The following is a 19,593-nucleotide window of genomic DNA, read 5'->3' as shown; positions in this document are numbered from 1 at the left end:
ATAATGGTAGGACCAGGCACTGGAAAGCACTTTATAGTTATCGTATTTCATGCTCACAACAAATTTATTATCCTCATTTCACAGATGAGGAAACTGAAGGTTAAGTGACTTGCTCAAGGTTACATAGTTAGGAAGTGGTAGAGCCCACCTGGTCTGAGACTACAAAGCTAGTCCAGACCCCTCCCAACTGTGTAGACAAGGGCAAGGATGTTGCTCACAGCCTCACCCCATGTCCCTTTTATGAGGACCCTAGGGACAAAGTCCCAGCTGTATTAGTAACCAAAATTAGTTCTACTTCTCCCAAACAATTAGTTTTGTATAAATTGTATGAGCCTTGTGAATTGTATACTGACCAGACAACTTGAGCAAGTTGTTTAGTTCACCCAAACCAAGTATACTGTTCATGGTGGAATTCATATTTATCCTCATTCTTGGATCTACTTAGTCACCACTTTTTTTTTGCTTTCTTTCACCCCACTTTAAACTACTGTGTCACAATCTGCCCTAAGTCTTCTCTTCAACTAGGGGAGGATGTGGTAAATAACTACAGGTATGGAGGTGAAGAGAGTTTATAGGCCCCTGTCACGAATGAGGGAAGCACGGGAAAGCACTCTGCCCATTTCTGCAAAGCACTTTTAATGAAACCGTTGTGTCACTCCAGATCCAAGTCTCCATGATGTTTGATGGCCAGTCAGCTGTGGAAGTGCACTCGAGAACCAGTATGGATGACTTAAAGGCCTTCACGTCTCTGAGCCTGTACATGAAACCCCCTGTGAAGCGGCCGGAACTGACCGAGACTGCAGATCAGTTTATCCTGTACCTCGGAAGCAAAAACGTAAGCACATGAGTTTGAAAGGAGGGAATAATATTTACAAGGAAAGCTGCTTTTTCTCTTGCCTAAAATAAAGCCACCTAGGCAAACAAACCAAAACAATGCCCATTCTGGTAACTCAGAAGATCTCATTTTAATGGCAAAATTAAAAGAATGACTAAAGGACAAGTCATTTCTTCTCTGTGTGGGATATTGTGGGGATTGTTTCCTATCACCATCACACTACTAACTTTGATGAGTCTGAATGAAACACCTCAAAGACTTTCAGAAAGACAGAAGCCTATTCTGTTTGATGCTGAATCCTGTTTAGAGATGCATAGTGATCGGTACTGTCAGGCTGTATTATATTCCTGGGTTAGCCTCACAAAATTAGCCCATTCCTGGCAGCCAACAAATTTCCACGAGCCTGAGCAAGATGGGGCCAGCAGACTCTGATGTGGCCACAGGGAGGCTGGAAAGGAAGAGACACTGCCTGCTCACAGGAGCTTCGGATAATAATTCAGGCCAGAAGTCACTTGTATATACCCAAATATTTGGATTTCTGATTGTCCTTTAAAAAAGATGATGTTCATTCTTATGAATTTTATTTAAATGACTTCTTACTTCTTGATATTTCAGGCCAAAAAAGAGTATATGGGTCTTGCAATCAAAAATGATAATCTGGTATACGTCTATAATTTGGGAACTAAAGATGTGGAGATTCCCCTGGACTCCAAGCCCGTCAGTTCCTGGCCTGCTTACTTCAGCATTGTCAAGATTGAAAGGTACAGTGAATCCATGACACAGGGCATATATGCACATATCACAAGAAACCTGTTGAACGTGCACATGTGCGTGCACACACACACACACATACACAGTCTTCCTGTGGATGTTATAAATAGCATTTTCCTCCCTTTATTCTTGCTCCGTTTTCTTCCATTATTCTTATATTCTTTCCCAAACACCTTAGTAGGAAAGAAAAAAAAAAGTCATTTCTAAATCACGATCTGATTATTAGATTTTACCTGGTCAATCCATGAATTAACTTCAAAATGGAATGTCTTTCTTCTCTTTCTCATTGATTGTGGTATTTTGTAAATGCTTATTAGTGTCACAAAATTACCCATTTTGTGATGAGGGAGCATTAACATTTTGACATTTAAAAAGTATTTTCTATGAATTATATAATAACAAGTGAAAATTATTTATCTCAATAGGGTGGGAAAACATGGAAAGGTGTTTTTAACAGTCCCGAGTCTAAGTAGCACAGCAGAGGAAAAGTTCATTAAAAAGGGGGAATTTTCGGGAGATGACTCTCTGCTGGACCTGGACCCTGAGGACACAGTGTTTTATGTTGGTGGAGTGCCTTCCAACTTCAAGGTCAGCCATACAGCTATATTTTGACCTATTACAAATCTACAGTAATTGTTTTTATAAATCCATAAACCTATAATGACTTGGGGGTTGCTGATATCACTTTAAGAGCTTAGTTCATGGGGGAGTAGAATTCTGAACCAGAATCTATAAACCTGATGTGTAAATCTGGTCTATGCTACTCATATTTTCATAATGTCAAATGCTTTCAAGTTATAGCTAACTCCTGAAGATCAGTTCATTCATTCTGATACATGCATATGTAATTAATATTACCCCCACCTGCCACAGGAAGGTCCGTAGCTTGTGGTGTCACCACAGTTTAGATCTAATCTTCAGCTTTGCAGTGGTGGTTTCAAAAATTCAGTTATCTCACCTAATACAGGTATGAAATAAAGTATCTGGGATGAGAGAGGGGGTGAGACTTCGGAGAGAGTATGAAATCTGATGAAGGGGGATAAAGGAAAGGTCGAAGAAGATGGGAAGTTGATCTAGGGTTCCAATTTCAGGACTATTATTACTAGTTATGGGCACATAATTGGAATTTATCTGAGAATTATTTTCCCTCTCATTATATGAGAACAAGAATACCTACCTAACAAAGCTGGCGCAAGGACTGATTTTTGTCATGAATTCACTGTACAGCCTATGACCAGCACATAATCTATGCTCAGTAAATCCCACTTTCTCTGCTAAGATTTGCACAACTGACAAGTTACGCCATATCTAAATGATTTGGCATAAACACACTCGGGTCTAGAAAGATATTTCCACAAAGGGGTAGGTCTCCTTGACCTACTATTAGTTGCATTGTCTGTTCTGTGATGTCTGAGTAAAATATGACCATGAGACAAGTGGTTTTACTTTTTCTATTGCATAGCTCCCTACCAGCTTAAACCTGCCTGGCTTTGTTGGCTGCCTGGAACTGGCCACTTTGAATAATGATGTGATCAGCTTGTACAACTTTAAGCACATCTATAATATGGACCCCTCCACATCAGTGCCATGTGCCCGGTAAGAGACAGTTAAGAGTACTAAAGACTTGGATATTCATGCAAGAGCAGCAGATAGAACAAGTATGAGTCAATATTCAGGTTCTCAAACTTTTCTTTGGGGAAGCCAGTTTTGAAACTACATAAGTCATACCTGCAAAAAACTCTTCACCTGTTCTCTATCATAGATGAGCATGCCCAAGTATGAAGTGTTAAACAACTTGTTTGCAGCCTTGATTAAGGATTCCAGAGACTAGGGTGTCCCTGGAGACTTCAGTTGTCTTAGCACACAGGATACAGAAGAAAACAATCCATTTAACATACCTACAAATACCTCTTTATCTCTTCCTTGCAGACAACAGGACTTCATTTAAATGTTGTAAGGTCCACAGAAGATGTTAGAAGAATGGGTTAAAAGGGCTTCACTTGAAAAGCATAACAGAAACTGTAGTGTTCAAATGACCGTTGTGTTTCCATTTCAGAGATAAGCTGGCCTTCACTCAGAGTCGGGCTGCCAGTTACTTCTTCGATGGCTCCGGTTATGCCGTGGTGAGAGACATCACAAGGAGAGGGAAATTTGGTCAGGTGACTCGCTTTGACATAGAAGTTCGAACACCAGCTGACAACGGCCTTATTCTCCTGATGGTCAATGGAGTGAGTAAAAATACAAGTCCTACTACTTCTCCTTTATTTCCTTTACTTTCTGCTACTCATGTTTCCAGGAACCTTCCCAGGTCTAGTGTGTCATGCCATCAAACTGAAATTCTAGTTTAGAAAGTCAAATTGGATTTTCTTCTTCAGGAAAGTAATGACAGCAATAAATAAAAGCAACCCTGAGATGCATTTCCCCACAGTACATTTTTGGATATAAATAAACTAAGAGAACTTTGAGGAAATTAGAACCAAGATCTAGATGAGCAGGGTGTCTGCAGAAATTTTGCACTGGGCTCCTAACTTTTCCAAACCATATGCCCTAATCAATTTTAAAGCAAAGCTTGCATGCTTTGTATATATGTATGTGTGTATGTAAGTATATATGTATGTACACACACACACATATATATCTTTGTTTATAAATGATACATGTGTACTATAAACAGATATAAATATAGTATGAAACAGTCAAAGCTTGTAATAAAGGACAAATTATATAAAGATAAAATAAAAGATTATATATTTAAAATGAAGATTAAATTGACTTATTTATTAATGATACAGAAATGTTTTTCTCACTAAAATTATTTTTAATAGTACTTTATCTACTGTACAGCTCAAAGAAAATAGTTTTAGTGAGAAAATGTAATTAAGTATGCTAAATATTTTCAAAAATCCTTAAACTCTTTGTGACACAGTGATTCAAAAGTCTTGTCCTAAGTCCAGTTTATTTCAACAGTAATTTTATTGGTGGTTGTAACTAGACAAGACACCTCACAAAAATAAAAAATGAAAGAACCATATCATTAGCTGTGCCTACTAACTCAAATAGTTTTCAATCACATTCACCAAGTGGCAAAGGTTGTCTTTGAGATTTGATTGGTGTATTTCCTTTTTTCTAATATTAGTTCTTGTAAGCTAACCAGGTATCATTTTGTAAACTTTAATAAAAGGGTTCAAAGCTATTGAAAATCTTTATTTGAAATATTTTTCTAAAGGTTAGAAATTTCTTCCCTCAAATGTTTTAATAGAGCTGATAGGAGAGTTTTTGTAGGATTGCATTTACATTGTTCCCATCAACAAAAGCAACAATAGAAAAATTCCCAAACATATTTTTTAAAAACCATCTCTCCACAGTATAACCGTCCTCAAAAAAAAGGAGAAAAAGTTACTTTCTCATCCATTATTATGATAATACCCTTACATTGATGTGACAGTATGTTTCTTTTTTGAAATAACTAGTAGGATTCATACTACTGTCAGACATTTGTCATCACGAATAAAGTTCAACAAATTTAGAATAATTCATGTTACAAAGAAAAATGTGTAACCCTCTATAAACTTAACAGCATTTTCAGAAATTTGTAGGAAGTAGCCAGCAAATATCTGTGTGTCTCAAAATGTTTTCACATCACTCTACATCTCAATACAAAATGAGTGTAAATATTCTATTATTTCGGTTATATCAGCCTTAAATCCATATAACTAGCCACACGTAAACTGCAATAAATTGCAATAGGCTAGAAGCAAAGAAATGGATGAGGAGCTACCTTCAACTCTTCAAGTGTGGAACCCCTCTTGGGAAGCCACACATATTATGTGAATTTTGTGAAAGTCTGACAAAAGGATAAAATGAAGGCCCAGAGTCAATAATTCATGTGTTAAATATTAAAAGTTAGTTTCTTTCTCTATTTTAGATTTTTTAGTGAGTATAAATGGATGTTGAAATATTTTCTTCTCTATTTCAGGTTTTTTTAAATTAGTATAAATAGAAGTTGAAATATTTTCTTCCTAAACTCCAGTAGGCTGCTTTCCACACTCCCAGGAATGTACAAACTCCACTCAGGAGATCACTTCCTATAGAATAGGGACCTTGCCACAATGCTTTATTTTTCAAATCCATTGACTTCTTGTATCTATGAACTATCTTCTGAAACAAGCAAAACTCCAGTAAATTATTTGAGTGTTACAAAATTTCTTTGATTCTTAAACATCATGTGTTCCAAGTGCATAATAATTCTATATTTATTTACATAAATCCAGTGTTTCAAAACAATACAGCAATGGCCTTCTTTTTTTAAATCCATATTTGCTGATAATATGGAAGAATTCTTTTCAGTATACCTTGAAATTATTTTTTAATTTTACTAATTTTCACCTAAAATAAATGCAGACACATCTGTTGGCCTGTTATAATTTTTAAAAGTTTCCTAAAGACAAGGCAGTTGAATAAACATGGTATACTATACTCTATTTTCAAGATTTTCTTAAAAGGCAATAATGTAGACTTAAAACTTCATCCATTAGTTCAGAAAGTAGAATGAAAACAGAAGAATTTTTACACTGTGTATAAATATTAACTTTTATGTATTAATAAGAGAAATAGCTGCTGATATGGAAGTAGTTGTCACTTTTTTTTTTTTTTTTTGAGACAGAGTCTCGTTCTGTAGCCCAGGCTGGAGTGCAGTGTCACGATCTCGGCTCACTGTAACTTCCACCTCCCGGGTTCAAGCGATTCTCTTGCCTCAGCCCCCTGAGTAGCTGGGATTACAGGTGCCTACCACCACGCCTGGCTAGTTTTTGTATTTTTAGTAGAGATAAGGTTTTGCCATGTTGGCCAGGCTGGTCTCAAACTCCTGGCCTCAAGTGATCCACCTGCCTCGGCCTCCCAGAGTGCTGGGATTACAGGTGTGAGCCACCACTCCCAGACACTGTCACTTTTATTTCATAAGAATTTCATGAGACTTTCTTAGTCTTCAAATAGTTCCAGTAATAAAGAATACAGTCTTATTTCTCAAATTCAGCTAAATCTGACTCTACTCGCATAACAGATGTTCCTATCTTACAATTCCTTTCTCTCCTCAGAGTATGTTTTTCAGACTGGAAATGCGCAATGGTTACCTACATGTGTTCTATGATTTTGGATTCAGCGGTGGCCCTGTGCATCTTGAAGATACGTTAAAGAAAGCTCAAATTAATGATGCAAAATACCATGAGGTACAAATCATTGTAGTTTGGTTGGTTTTGTTTTTGTTCTTTATACTTAGATCTGTTGATCTAATCAGGCAGTCAAATGAGACAGGCAGGATGGTAAATAAACTGAGAACTTTCATATCTAAAGAGCAACTGAAGGACCCTCATCTTCTCAACCCTAGGAAAACATTTACTTTAAAACATTGGATGTATTTTTCCTGTTGATGTTCCAATTTAAAAGTCACTGAAAGATTCCTTTTAATTGCTTAATTAACCAGAAGGCTTCTATTAATCTTAAATATCTCAATTGGTATTCCTACAGGATACTTCTATACATTTGTTGAATGAGCCAGAGTGTAGATACACAGCCTTTTTTTGCTTATCCTTTGAGCCCCACCAAATTTAACAAGAATACATATAAGTAAATACAGAATTTCCTTTTAAACCACTTATCCAGAATTTAGAAAATACTAGCACAGTTTTCCTTATAAAGAGAACTCACAAAGAATCCCCTTTAGTTTTGAAACAGATGTGCAGACTACTGAAAATATACTTCATCCATTTTCATTAACTATTTTAAATATACAACTTAATAAAGTGTATACAAGGCATAATATCTTTTAAGTTGAACCAAAATGCGAAGGGTAGGAGACTGTATTTCCCTTTTCAGTTCAAAGTCCATAGCCTCATGAGAATGGTTTACAATAAAAGAATATTTTAACTATTTCTCTGACTAGCATTTTTGCAGATTCATTAGAACTGCTCACTGTGTCACCAAAAAAATTACACCTGGTAACATGCAATCTAGATTCCAGAAGGCACCTGCTTGGGAATACAATAGGGGTCACCAGGGGTTAGGGGATAGGGAAATAAGAAATTGCTGTTCAATGTGTATACAGTTTCAGTTGTGCTAGGTGAGTAAGTTCTCGAAATCTGCTGTACAGCATGGAGCCTATAGTTAAAACTAATTTAAAATTTATTTAGGATAGATCTCATGTTAAGTGTGCGTAACACACATGCTCACACACACACACACACCACAAAGGGACACAAGGAAATGCTGGGAAATGTGTGATATGTCTCTTACCTTGATTGTAAGATGATATGAGTGTTTGCATATGTCCAAGCTCATCAAATTGTATACATAAAATATGTGTAGTTCTTTGTATGTCAACTAGACTTGAATAAAGTTGTTTTTTTAAAAAAAAAGAGAATGGTGGCACCTGTTTATAGTTCTTTCCTGAATCCTCTCAGAAGGAGCAGGAGGAAACAATAGGTCTAATCGCAAAATTTTTCTTGGGCTGGCTCCTCTTCATACAGACCTCCTTTCCCAGAAAGTGTGAACTGCTGCTTGTAGAAGCAAGAGTTTTCAAGTCTGTGAGAAAAGAAAATCTATCTATTCCCCATTTTGTGAACAAACAAGCACAAAGGCATGGAAGAACAGCTAGTATACCAGGAGAATTAAAATATATAGAAGTCATCAAAGAACTGAATATTAAATAGTTAATCAAGGCTTACTATATATTATCTCTCCCAGATCTCAATCATTTACCACAATGATAAGAAAATGATCTTGGTAGTTGACAGAAGGCATGTCAAGAGCATGGATAATGAAAAGATGAAAATACCTTTTACAGATATATACATTGGAGGAGCTCCTCCAGAAATCTTACAATCCAGGTAAGGCTTTTTGTTAAGTAGCTGTTTGTTCCTAGCAATGTACTGGGCTGGCAACATCCAGGAGAGGTCTAGTAACAGTGTACGCACCCTTACTTGCTACTTTTACACACAGGGACAGGCACAGGTACACACATTCATGTACCTTCAGGCCCTCTGCAGTCAGTCCTCAGGACCTCCTGAAATTAGCATCGCATAGATGTAATCACAGATTTCTTCAATTATTGTATTACTCTTAGAACATGATCTAATGCAGTATTTCTCATCAATAATAGGAACGGTGGAACATGTGTATTGTGTGAAGACAAAACAGCATTTGTCCATTTACTTTTGCTTTAGCCTTAAACCCATTTTGAACTCTCCAATAGCATCTGAGCTACACAAATTTTTAAGGTTATCCAAAGGGTTGTGTATTATGTATAATGAAACATTAAGACACTCCCCTAAACTTTGTTGATTACAGATGTGTTGGAAATAATGCCAAAATGGATTCATTAATGACGTGGATTAATAAAAGTCTGAAGACCTGTGTTCAAATCCTAACATCACTTGTGACATAAGAGAATAATTTATTTCTTAGTTTCATTTCTTAGTTTCATTACGTTAAACCCTGTGAAATTACTAAGAATTGATTATATTTCTGTGTAACATGTTAGTTCCTATGATTCAACCTAATAATCGTCTGCTAAAGGGAAATCATAGCATCTCCATCTATTTCACTGAATTGTTATAAAGATAAAATGAGATAATGTAAGTTAGAGCATTTTGAAAACTGTAAGGAAGAAATTGGCTTGACGTAGAACAAAACTCTTCTATAGGCAAAGATTAGACATTGCTGTGTGCCTATCAAAGAAAGCATGAGAATATGAATGATTATAAAGCCATTACAAATGACTATAAATAAATGCAAATTCCATAGCCTACATATGCAGGGTAACATCATCATCATGGCTGTATCAGTGAGGCTGACTTTCTTTTCCAGGGCCCTCAGAGCACACCTTCCCCTAGATATCAACTTCAGAGGATGCATGAAGGGCTTCCAGTTCCAAAAGAAGGACTTCAATTTACTGGAGCAGACAGAAACCCTGGGAGTTGGTTATGGATGCCCAGAAGACTCACTTGTAAGAACCACTCAGTCAAAAGCTTTTTAATAGACACAATACTTATCACTCTCAAAAGCTGGAAAAGTTCTTTTCAGCTTCTCTCTGATCCTAGGTACACCTTGGGTTCCTTTCTGCCACCACCAGAAAGAAGAACCATTAAGCTAGAAGGGCTCTTGTGCATGGGGTTCCTCTGTGACTTGTTCGTTTGCTTCAGTTTTCCATGGGTGGGGCATCTAACACCCAGAGAGGGTGTGCTAGCATCATTGTTCACTCAGGTTGGAGTCAGTGGAGAAGATGAAACCCCATCTCTCAGAGGAGCTCCTAGTGTATGCCTGAATTCCAACATAGACCAGAAGTGGGAAAATAAACTATTTACGTAGAAATTAACAGGCAAGGCCTTCCGTATGTGAAACATTGATAGTTTTAAGCATTTGATAATTCTCAAAAACACTATCTCCACTTGTTCTGGCACACAGATATCTCGCAGAGCATATTTCAATGGACAGAGCTTCATTGCTTCAATTCAGAAAATATCTTTCTTTGATGGCTTTGAAGGAGGTTTTAATTTCCGAACATTACAACCAAATGGGTTACTATTCTATTATGCTTCAGGGGTAAGTGTTTGTTTTTCTCTGAGGAAACTTCTTTGTGATAATTGTTTTGCCTATTAAAAATAATTTGTAATGCATGTTAGAAGTGATTTTCTATTCAGATTAATTTTGACTCACACGTAGACACACAGAATGCCTCATTTCAAACACTTTATAAAATATTCTATGTATTGTATATCAGAAGTTCCTAACCTGGAATTCATAGACCCACCCCCAAGGGTTCATGGATAGAATTCAGGGGGGTCTGTGGACTTAATGCGAAAAGATTACATCTTTATTTTCTCTCACTGAAATTGATCATTTTCTTTGATTATGACTCTAGGCAACACACCACAGTAGTATTACCAGTACCTGTGACTTTGTCATTAATAGAAATCACAGATTTTTTTGTTTCACATTACAATTGTCACAGAAATCTCAGAATGTCATTTTTGCTCATTGCTACTTCTAATGTTATTAGGTCTGCTATGGAATCTTATTCTTTAATGCCTTAATAAAAAAGTTATAATAATATCACAGATTATTTTAATATTTTGAAAACTGTATTTCAGTATGATTGGTTTCCTTTGTATTATTATATGTTTTGTTTTATACATTTAAAAACATTATTTTGTGAAGCGGTCGCTATCTGTTACCAAAATGCCAAAGGTGTTTCTGGCACAAAAATTCTCAAGAGTCCCTGTTTGTATGCAATGAACAAACACATTTGTGATTTAATTTATAAAAGAGTAAAAAGAACATACATACTTCTCTTAGATTTGCTACAGAGCATTTGAGCTCAGCTTATAAAGATACGTTATTTCAAGAATAAACTAAGGTCTGTAGAGGATTGGTGACTGTAAGATCCAACTGATGGGTCTCTGAAAAGGTCATCATCAATATATACACTGATGTGCCAGGTCATCACATAACTTCTGAAAGCAGCTTTCACTTTTCATATATATTACCTGCATCTGACACATTTATATCCAATTTAATTGGAATCAGTAGAATTTGTGAGAATTTACCCAAAGCATTTTGTAGAACTTCTGACCCAAACCTGCCTCAGACTACCCTGGTTAGTTAAATAACACTTTTTGCCCATAAAAAGTAGTCTATTTTGAGGGCAGACTTAAGAAGTTGGTGCCCATATAAGGAAAGAGAAGCAAGATTAACCCTTGCCAAATATTTTAAGACAAGCAATAAGCAAATTCAGATAAGAAGAGCTAACTTGCTTTTAAAAATGTCTCTTCTGCCTCTAGATGAAAAAGTGAAAGATTTTAAAAAGCCAAACTAGTAAATTAACCCTTGCCTAGTCATCTAGCTACATCCCCAAGGAGACCCAAATATCATCTATTCGAAGGGATTAAAAGTGAGATTGAAAGTAGGAAAGTAACTGAGACTGGGTTGACAACTCCCAGCATAACAAAGTCATCAAAAATTTTCAGTTGGAAATATAGGAGATACATTTTTCTACTGAAATGTGTCTAATTTTATAAGCAATACCAGTACAAGCAATAAGGTATTCTTGGTTGTTATTTATAGAAATTATTTTACAAGCAAATTTCCTACACACTATATTGCCTTTAAGCAATACCATTCAGTAAATGTTGAAAACATTTCCGTCTTTTGGATCCCTAGACTCCCTACTTACATGCCTGTGCTTGCATTTCAGTCAGACGTGTTCTCCATCTCACTGGATAATGGTACTGTCATCATGGATGTAAAGGGAATCAAAGTTCAGTCAGTAGATAAGCAGTACAATGATGGGCTGTCCCACTTCGTCATTAGCTCTGTCTCACCCACAAGGTATAGCTCCTCACTTCATATTCTTTCCACCATGTCTATTTGTGGGACATGATTATGTCAAAAACCACTATGAATAATAGGCTGTCCTATAACTTTTCTAATGTTAAAACAAAAATGCTAGAAGGAACAACTTATCTTCCTCAAAAAAATATTGCTATTAGTTTCCAAGACATGTAAAATAAATCACTATGAAATTTCTTAAACTAAATATAAGGGTTCTTTTTCCAGTAAAACAATAGGTTATAATCTCCTTGAGGGAAATGCCTACTAATATTACCTACTGAACAGAGTGCAGTATTTTGCACATAGAAGGAGCTCAGCAAATATTGGTCTTGTTTAGACCTTGAGTCAAACAGTTGAGAATGCAACATTTATGGCATTTTAAAAGCTCGAACTTCATCTTTAAAATAGATAATACTGAATTTATTTTTCATAATAAGAAATTTTCTGGAATAAGAAATGAACCTCTGCTGCTATCCTATGTCCACTTTTGTGGACATAGAAAACATGAGTAGGCTTTTTCTGGGCCCCACTTCCAGTAAGGATCAAAATAATCTAATGTGCTTTGCCATGAAAATGGTCTTCCACAAATGTGATTAAGTGATCATCATAAGGTATGCTCTGTTTTATACACACACACACACACACACACACACACACACACACAAAAATAATGCTGATGACTAGTCATCTGAATTTCTTGCCTTACGGGTTTAAATTCCAATCTTGGTTTGGAGGATCTTTTTTGCATATAGAAATATCCAACCATTTTATCCTGGGCCTCATGAAGAGTTTGGCAACTCGCTGTCTTTTCATTAACCACATGTTCCATTTCAATTTCATGAGAAAACCTGCTTATCCAACCTAGAGTGGGTCAAGGTAAAATGCTAGCTCTGTGGTATGTAAAGAAGCCTTTTTCTTTTGCAGATATGAACTGATAGTAGATAAAAGCAGAGTTGGGAGTAAGAATCCTACCAAAGGGAAAATAGAACAGACACAAGCAAGTGAAAAGAAGTTTTACTTCGGTGGCTCACCAATCAGTGCTCAGTATGCTAATTTCACTGGCTGCATAAGTAATGCCTACTTTACCAGGTATAATATTTTTATTATTAATGAATCTGCATGATTGATAAATAAAATCAAGACAACAGCAAAAATATTAAAACTGAGAACTATGAAATGTATCTGAGGCATTAGGGGATAGTAATTAAAAGCTTTTATGTGCTTGAGAAACTGTCATACTTGGGTTTCTGTGTAGGTTCTTTGCCCTTTAATTTCCATATGACCTTGACTAAGTAAGCCTTCATTTCTTCACCTGAAAATGCAGATAATAATGGTGCCTACTTGGTAGGTTTGTCATGAAGGGTAAATGAGAAGATAATGCACATAAAGCAACTTGTACAGTGTCTGGCATACAGCAAGCTATAAATATTAGATGCAATTATTTTTGTACTTATCATTAATGACAGAGTAACATACCCAGAGGTTTACAAAACTCTTAATTTAATGCATGATTTTAAAGAAAGCTATTAATCTAGGTCCTTAACAAAGACAATAGGGGTTCCTTGAGTACAAGAACAAGCAAGGGAGGAATTTAATATAGATTAAGAAACAGAGGCAGTTCCAATCATCCAGAGTGTGTTGAGGGAAAAGATATTCATTATTATAAATATGTGATGCCAGGCACATAGTTATTAACAGGTTGAATGTTAATTTAAAGGGTTCTGGTTAAGAGTGGTTGATGGGTAAGGACCCATCACACATACACACACACACACATGCACACACACACACACATTTTAATTGCCAAAGCTCTTTCACTTCCATAATATTCATCATGTAATTCTGAACAATATTTTTAATATTTATTTTTTCCTCTGTTACAAACACAGGGTGGATAGAGATGTGGAGGTTGAAGATTTCCAACGGTATACTGAAAAGGTCCACACTTCTCTTTATGAGTGTCCCATTGAGTCTTCACCATTGTTTCTCCTCCATAAAAAAGGAAAAAATTTATCCAAGCCTAAAGCAAGTCAGAATAAAAAGGTAAAAGATAATGCCGTTCTGACTTCCTAATTGTCATCATTTTCCATGCACACAGTTCTAGACACTGCTGTTTTAGAGAATTGACTTGATACTTTGCAACTACGTACATAGGAAAGATGGGATTCTTGCAGTATCACATATTCTAGTTTACCAGATTTGTTGCATTAATTCTTTGTTATAGAAGCATTTTTTATTTTTTATTGAAATGTAGTAATTGCACAAATGTATGGGGTACAGAGTGATCTTTCAATACATGTATACAATGTGCAAAAATCAAATCAGAGTGATAGCATGTCTATTATCTCAAACATTTATTATTTCTTTGTGTTGGGAACATTCAAAATCATCTCTTCTAGCTATTTGGAAATATACAATAAGTTATTGTTAACTATAGTCACTCTACCATACTATAGAGACACAGAACAATTTCCTCCTATCTAGCTGTAATTTGGTACACATTAACCAACCTCAGCCTATCCTCCTCCCGCCGCTGCCCGTCCCAGCCTCTGATAACCACAGTTCTAGTCTCCTGTGAACTCAACATTTTTAGCTCCCACTTATGATAACATGCAGTATTTGTCTTTCTGTGCCTGCCTTATTTCACTTAACATAATGTCCTCCAGGCTCATCCGCGTTTGTTGCATCAGTTCTTGTTCCAATGAACAGTCTGAATCAGCTATTTATTCATACTTCCAACTTACAATGGTTTCCTTTACAATGGTTGAAATGTCCCTGTGCTTAACAGTTTGTATAAATAATACATATTATTTAGTACTATAATTCTCTAGTATCATTTGCTTTTGTGTAACAATTTTAGGCTTTTGTCACAATCATGGAAATTATTCAAGTTTCTGATCTTACCCTGGTTTTTCCCCTCCTTCCTGGACCTTCACTTCAACCACTCACATGCACAGTTGGTCTGTGACATCAGCTAAAGCTACTCCATTATCAAAATCTTGAGTTCTAAAATTCCAACCTGACTACTATTCTTTCTCATTCATTTACTTCAACTGTGTACATTATTTGCCTTCATTACAAGTGGGACCCTTAATCCCTTCTAATTCTATCAGTTTAACCCTCCCCACCTCTTTCATGATCCAATTTTAAGAGTGTGCTCAGGTGTCAGTGTTCCCAGCCTGGCCCTTGCCACCAACAACTCTCATCTGAGTAACTGCATCACCTCCCAGCAGGTCTCCTTGCTTCCACCTTGTTCCCTGATAGCCTATTCTCAACCCTACAGTCAGATCCTTATAAACATAAATCATATCATGTCACTACTGTGCTCAAATGGCCCCCCGACTACACTCCGAGTAAAAGCCCAAGGCACCACAATTTGTAAGAGGCCCTATGTGATCCATGCCTTACCCTGAGTTCATCTCCTCCTACTTGCCCACCTCCCTCACTCTTCTCCCCATACTGGCCTCCCAACTATTCCTAGAATGGGCCATGTGTACTCCTACCTTAGGTTCTTTATTCAGGCTTCCCTTCTGCTTGGATCACACTTCTCCCAAGTATCTGCACAGACAACTTCTCCTCCTTCTACAATTGTTCAACTCTCACCTGTTCAATGACCTACATTGACACCCTATTGAATACTGCAGCCTGCCTCCTACCTCCTACCAGTAATACTGCTCTTTTGCCTCTTTCTATTCTTTTTTCATAGTCCTTATATTGTAATTTATTAGCATGCTTTCTTTATTATGTTTATTATTTATTGTCTGTCTCCTCTACTAAATGCAAGCTCATTCATTTTGTTCCCTGACATATAATAAGCACTCAGAACAATGCATATAATAGGTGTTCAATACATACACAGCTATCTGCATCATAGGGTTGTAACAAAAACTAAATGAGTTAATGCATGAAATTATATGCACTTAGCATAGCACAAGGCATATAGTTAAGATTCAGTGAATATTAGTGGTTATATCTCTATAGAGCCTTATGAGTATTCTGGAGGATTGGTTCCTAAAAGTAAAATTGCTTGGCTCAAGGGAATATGCATTTTCAATATTGAGGCAATACCAATTTACACTCCCACAAACAGCATTTGAAAGAACATATTGTCCCACACTATTGTCAACAATGAATATAATCAAATTTCTATAATTTTGCAATTCTGATGGACAAATTGAGGTTTTAGTTTGCATTTCTTTGAATGCTAGTGAGGTTGAACATCTTTTCAGGGGAAGAACTGATTGCCTTCCAAGGCTGGCTTCTGGACCATCAGCAAGAGGGAAGTGTCTCCACCACCTTCTCCATTCTGATGGTTTTTCACTGACCATTATATCTTGACATTTTCCATATATTTGAGCATATGTGGACTACTTTTTTCAATCCTCTTGAAACTTCTCCTTTGTTCATACATGACTGCTTTATCAATGTTAACAAAATAATTTTGTGTGTGTATAATTAAAACTTAGTAGTTTCTTAGGATCTCTTCCTGAGTTTGACATGGAAGACAGATAATTTCATTGATTCTCATGAAGGATTTTGCTGGAAGATACTATGAAGGAGTTTTCAGAGTATACTATAAAATTCTAATAGAGTCTTGCTGTTACCCTCATACATTGATGCTAAAAGATTTATCCTGAAAATTTTTTTATCTGACACTTGAACACTGGTCAGAGGTTCATAGGCAGCAGATTAACATTACAGGCTGATGAGGGACATCAACCTTCTCAAGCAAACACAGTTACCCCTTTAAATAAACACAGTTTTCTAAATTAAGTTGTCTATCAAATGTGATTTCCCAACAAACATTCAATCTCAAGGTTATAATCAACAGCCCTACTAACACAAGCTTTTCCATATTATAGGAAACTTGTTAACCTTTATGGTAAATAGTGTTAGACAGAAACTTGACTTTGTAATAACAAGATACAGAATCACCATAGATTTCAATTATATTTTATGGTAACTAGAATGTCAACATTTGCTAATCTTTTCTTATATTGACCCTTGTTTCAACAGCTTCATAAATAGCTACCAAGAAAAATGTATGGCCTCTGACCTAAATTTTCATCAAGGCTGCATCAAAGCAATTGGGATTGTAATAATTTATTTTCACAATCACTTCCTAATATCCCATTTTATTCACTTACTATATTCACTTAACCATTAATAGACTTTCAGTTGCTTCTAGTTTTCTCCTTTTATAGCCAAAGATCTTTGTAGGTAAATCTTTGAGTATGTTGCTGAACAAATCTTTAAGATAGATTCCCAGGGGCAGAATTACTGAATCAAGGCAAATTGCTTTCCAAAAAGGTAACATTGATTTCTAGTTCCCTATGGTATTTGTGAATACCTGTCTTATCACCTATGTTCCAGCCTTAAATTTTTTTAACAATGTTTATGTTTCAAGTTTAACTGGGAAAAGTTTCTCATTTGGTGTTTAATAATGAACATTTCAGGTATTGTAACAGACATCATGCTAAGGTATCTGGCAAACCACTCTCTTCTCTAAGAACTGATTTCCGAGCTAGTGGGCAGGCCCTGTGTTTTAGATGCACGACCTCACTTCCCTGGATATAGATCACTGGACCAAGGTAGATCACGTGCACGAAGCTCGGCTATCAGATTCTCTTCCTTGGAAACTTAAAACCTAGAGAGATTAGCCTGAGCTGGCCATTGAACAGAAAACATGTAAACCTAAGGGCATTATGTTAATTATACACAGAGGAAAAAAAGCTCCTTCATAGAGTGAAAGGCAAAAAGCTATCCTGCTGAGAAAGAAAAATGAAAAGAGATGCTCTGAGAAATCAGAAACCTCCAGAAAGGGAGTGCCTTGATTCCTTCTAGCTTTCCAATTGATTCTAGCCCCTGCTGGGACACCACAATACTATCCTATCTTAGATTGTTTAAGATGGCCAGGTGCGGTGGCTCACGCCTGTAATCCCAGCACTTTGGGAGGCCAAGGCAGGTGGAAAAAGAGGTCAGGAGATCGAGACCAGCCTGGCCAACATGGTGAAACCCCGTCTCTACTAAAAATACAAAAATTGGCTGGGCATGGTGGCGCATGCCTGTAATCCCAGCTACTCGGGAGGCTGAGGCAGGAGAATCGCTTGAACCTGGAAGGCAGAGTTTGCAGTGAGCTGACATCGCGCCACTGCACTCCAGCCTGGGCAACAAGAGCAAAACTGTCTCAAAAAAAAAAAAAAAAGATACCCCTATATCCTTATAACACATTGCTGTCTTTTTCTTCAGTAGCTCAACTAGCTTGGCTGTTATCTGACACAAAAGAATCTTGCTAAATTGAACTAGTACTATCAGTAGGATTGCAACTAATAGGCCCACAGAGAAAACAAAAAATTACACTGATAAAGCCAAAGTCTAGTGGAGTTCATTGAGAATCACCATACACATACCCATCTTAGGATAATAAACTGAGTCTCAGTGTTGTATGGTATAAAGTAATTAAGTTATAACTTGGCTATTTTATCATTACTAAGAGTGTGAATGTGTATCTGCAGAAGAATTAGCATATTTGGTTGCCATATATAAAGACACCCGAGTTTATTGATTTTTGCAGCAGATGAGTGATGCAGCCTACATAGTCATGTATTCCCACACTGAAGCAGAGTAAGGCAAGGCTGGTAAATTGAGATTGTTCTGTTTCAAATAACCCTGTGCTTCACTGAGCACCTAGAGCTAAGTGGATACACTGACTAAGAAAGCGTGAGATCCTTTCCATCCAAATGGAGAAAACAGGAAGCAGCCAGAGTTGGGGAAAGTCCTCTACCCTCACTCTCACTCTGTTCTCTCACCCTCACTACAGGCCCTGTGCAAAGTATTTCCAGCTGGGCCTTTCACTGAGACAAAAGTGATCATATCTCCTATCATAAAGTGTATTACTCCACTGGGATTGAAATAGAGCATGTATTTGGGGAAATTTTCCTAAGACATTAGAGTTAAAGAATCTCCTGGCAGCCCTACTCCAGCCCATTCTGCCCACCTACGGCTTGAAGCTATGGCCATTATCTGTAGGTGAGAGCCTGGACCAAAAAGTATTGGTAGCTGGGTATATTTCCCCCATCCAAGAGAGAAACCTTGTTTCTGTGGCAGTAAAAATCAGGTTATGAGTCCTGACAACTGCATAAAGAAGGGAAGAGGGAATGGTGGAACCAGGTGGGCTTTCCTTTAGGACATGAGAGTCTATGAGCTCCCACCTCTCTCCAACCTAACCACCACTGTGAGAGTCTCCACTGCCAAAATCCAACTGCACGAGCTGCTGCCCTGAGAGCAAGAGACACTGGCACAGCTCGTCTGTCCTTTAATTAATTAACCTGCCCTCTGCCCAAAATCAGATCTAGATTTTGAAAGTAATTCTGAGATTTAGCTAAAACACTATTTTTTTGTGGGGGGGATTTTGTCTTTTGCCCTTATGAGATTAAGGGTTTTATTGTCCATCTGTTCCAATCTACTTTATATCTTCCAGAAATTCCACACAGCTTGGTTCTGCCAGTAAAAACCCTCCTAGATTTCCAGGACTGCTGTGGATTTATTTTTATGTATATAGTTCTGACATTTCAATGGGAATAGGGAGGCAGGGACTAAAGGTG

The 19,593-nt window shown here is 36.9% G+C and overlaps 1 protein-coding gene and 1 long non-coding RNA gene across 10 annotated transcripts in view, besides 1 other annotated feature; one reads left to right on the top strand and one right to left on the bottom strand.

The window, feature by feature from the left end:
* LAMA4 (laminin subunit alpha 4) overlaps positions 1-19,593 on the top strand; it is a 147,055-nt gene that overhangs the window by 112,032 nt on the left and 15,430 nt on the right. For 8 of the 9 annotated variants that reach the window (XM_047418770.1, XM_047418769.1, XM_017010854.3 and 5 more), the window contains exons 20-31: positions 662-835; positions 1,451-1,596; positions 2,032-2,194; positions 3,069-3,202; positions 3,663-3,834; positions 6,700-6,831; positions 8,345-8,487; positions 9,467-9,605; positions 10,064-10,201; positions 11,853-11,986; positions 12,914-13,078; positions 13,879-14,032. In XM_047418770.1, the coding sequence (XP_047274726.1) occupies positions 662-835; positions 1,451-1,596; positions 2,032-2,194; positions 3,069-3,202; positions 3,663-3,834; positions 6,700-6,831; positions 8,345-8,487; positions 9,467-9,605; positions 10,064-10,201; positions 11,853-11,986; positions 12,914-13,078; positions 13,879-14,032 (1,794 nt within the window). Of the gene's footprint in view, positions 1-661; positions 836-1,450; positions 1,597-2,031; positions 2,195-3,068; positions 3,203-3,662; positions 3,835-6,699; positions 6,832-8,344; positions 8,488-9,466; positions 9,606-10,063; positions 10,202-11,852; positions 11,987-12,913; positions 13,079-13,878; positions 14,033-19,593 lie in introns of those variants that run through there. The other variant, XM_047418771.1, reaches the window with a different exon arrangement.
* The window catches only part of LOC107986633 (uncharacterized), a 39,745-nt gene that overhangs the window by 12,780 nt on the left and 7,372 nt on the right, over positions 1-19,593 (bottom strand). The gene's annotated exons all lie outside the window — the stretch shown is intronic.
* Positions 939-2,138: an enhancer, noted in NCBI's record as "MED14-independent group 3 enhancer chr6:112462018-112463217 (GRCh37/hg19 assembly coordinates)". NCBI's record gives its function as "activates an origin of replication core promoter dependent on BRD2, BRD4, P300/CBP and CDK7 cofactors, and independent of MED14, by STARR-seq in HCT116 cells {active_cell/tissue: HCT116}" and the evidence as "EXISTENCE:reporter gene assay evidence [ECO:0000049][PMID:35650434]".

Source organism: Homo sapiens, chromosome 6 (assembly GCF_000001405.40).
Source record: "Homo sapiens chromosome 6, GRCh38.p14 Primary Assembly".
NCBI classification, from domain to species: Eukaryota; Metazoa; Chordata; class Mammalia; order Primates; family Hominidae; genus Homo; species Homo sapiens.
The sequence above is the reverse complement of the archived record's forward strand: the minus strand, read 5'-3'. Positions and strand labels throughout refer to the sequence as shown.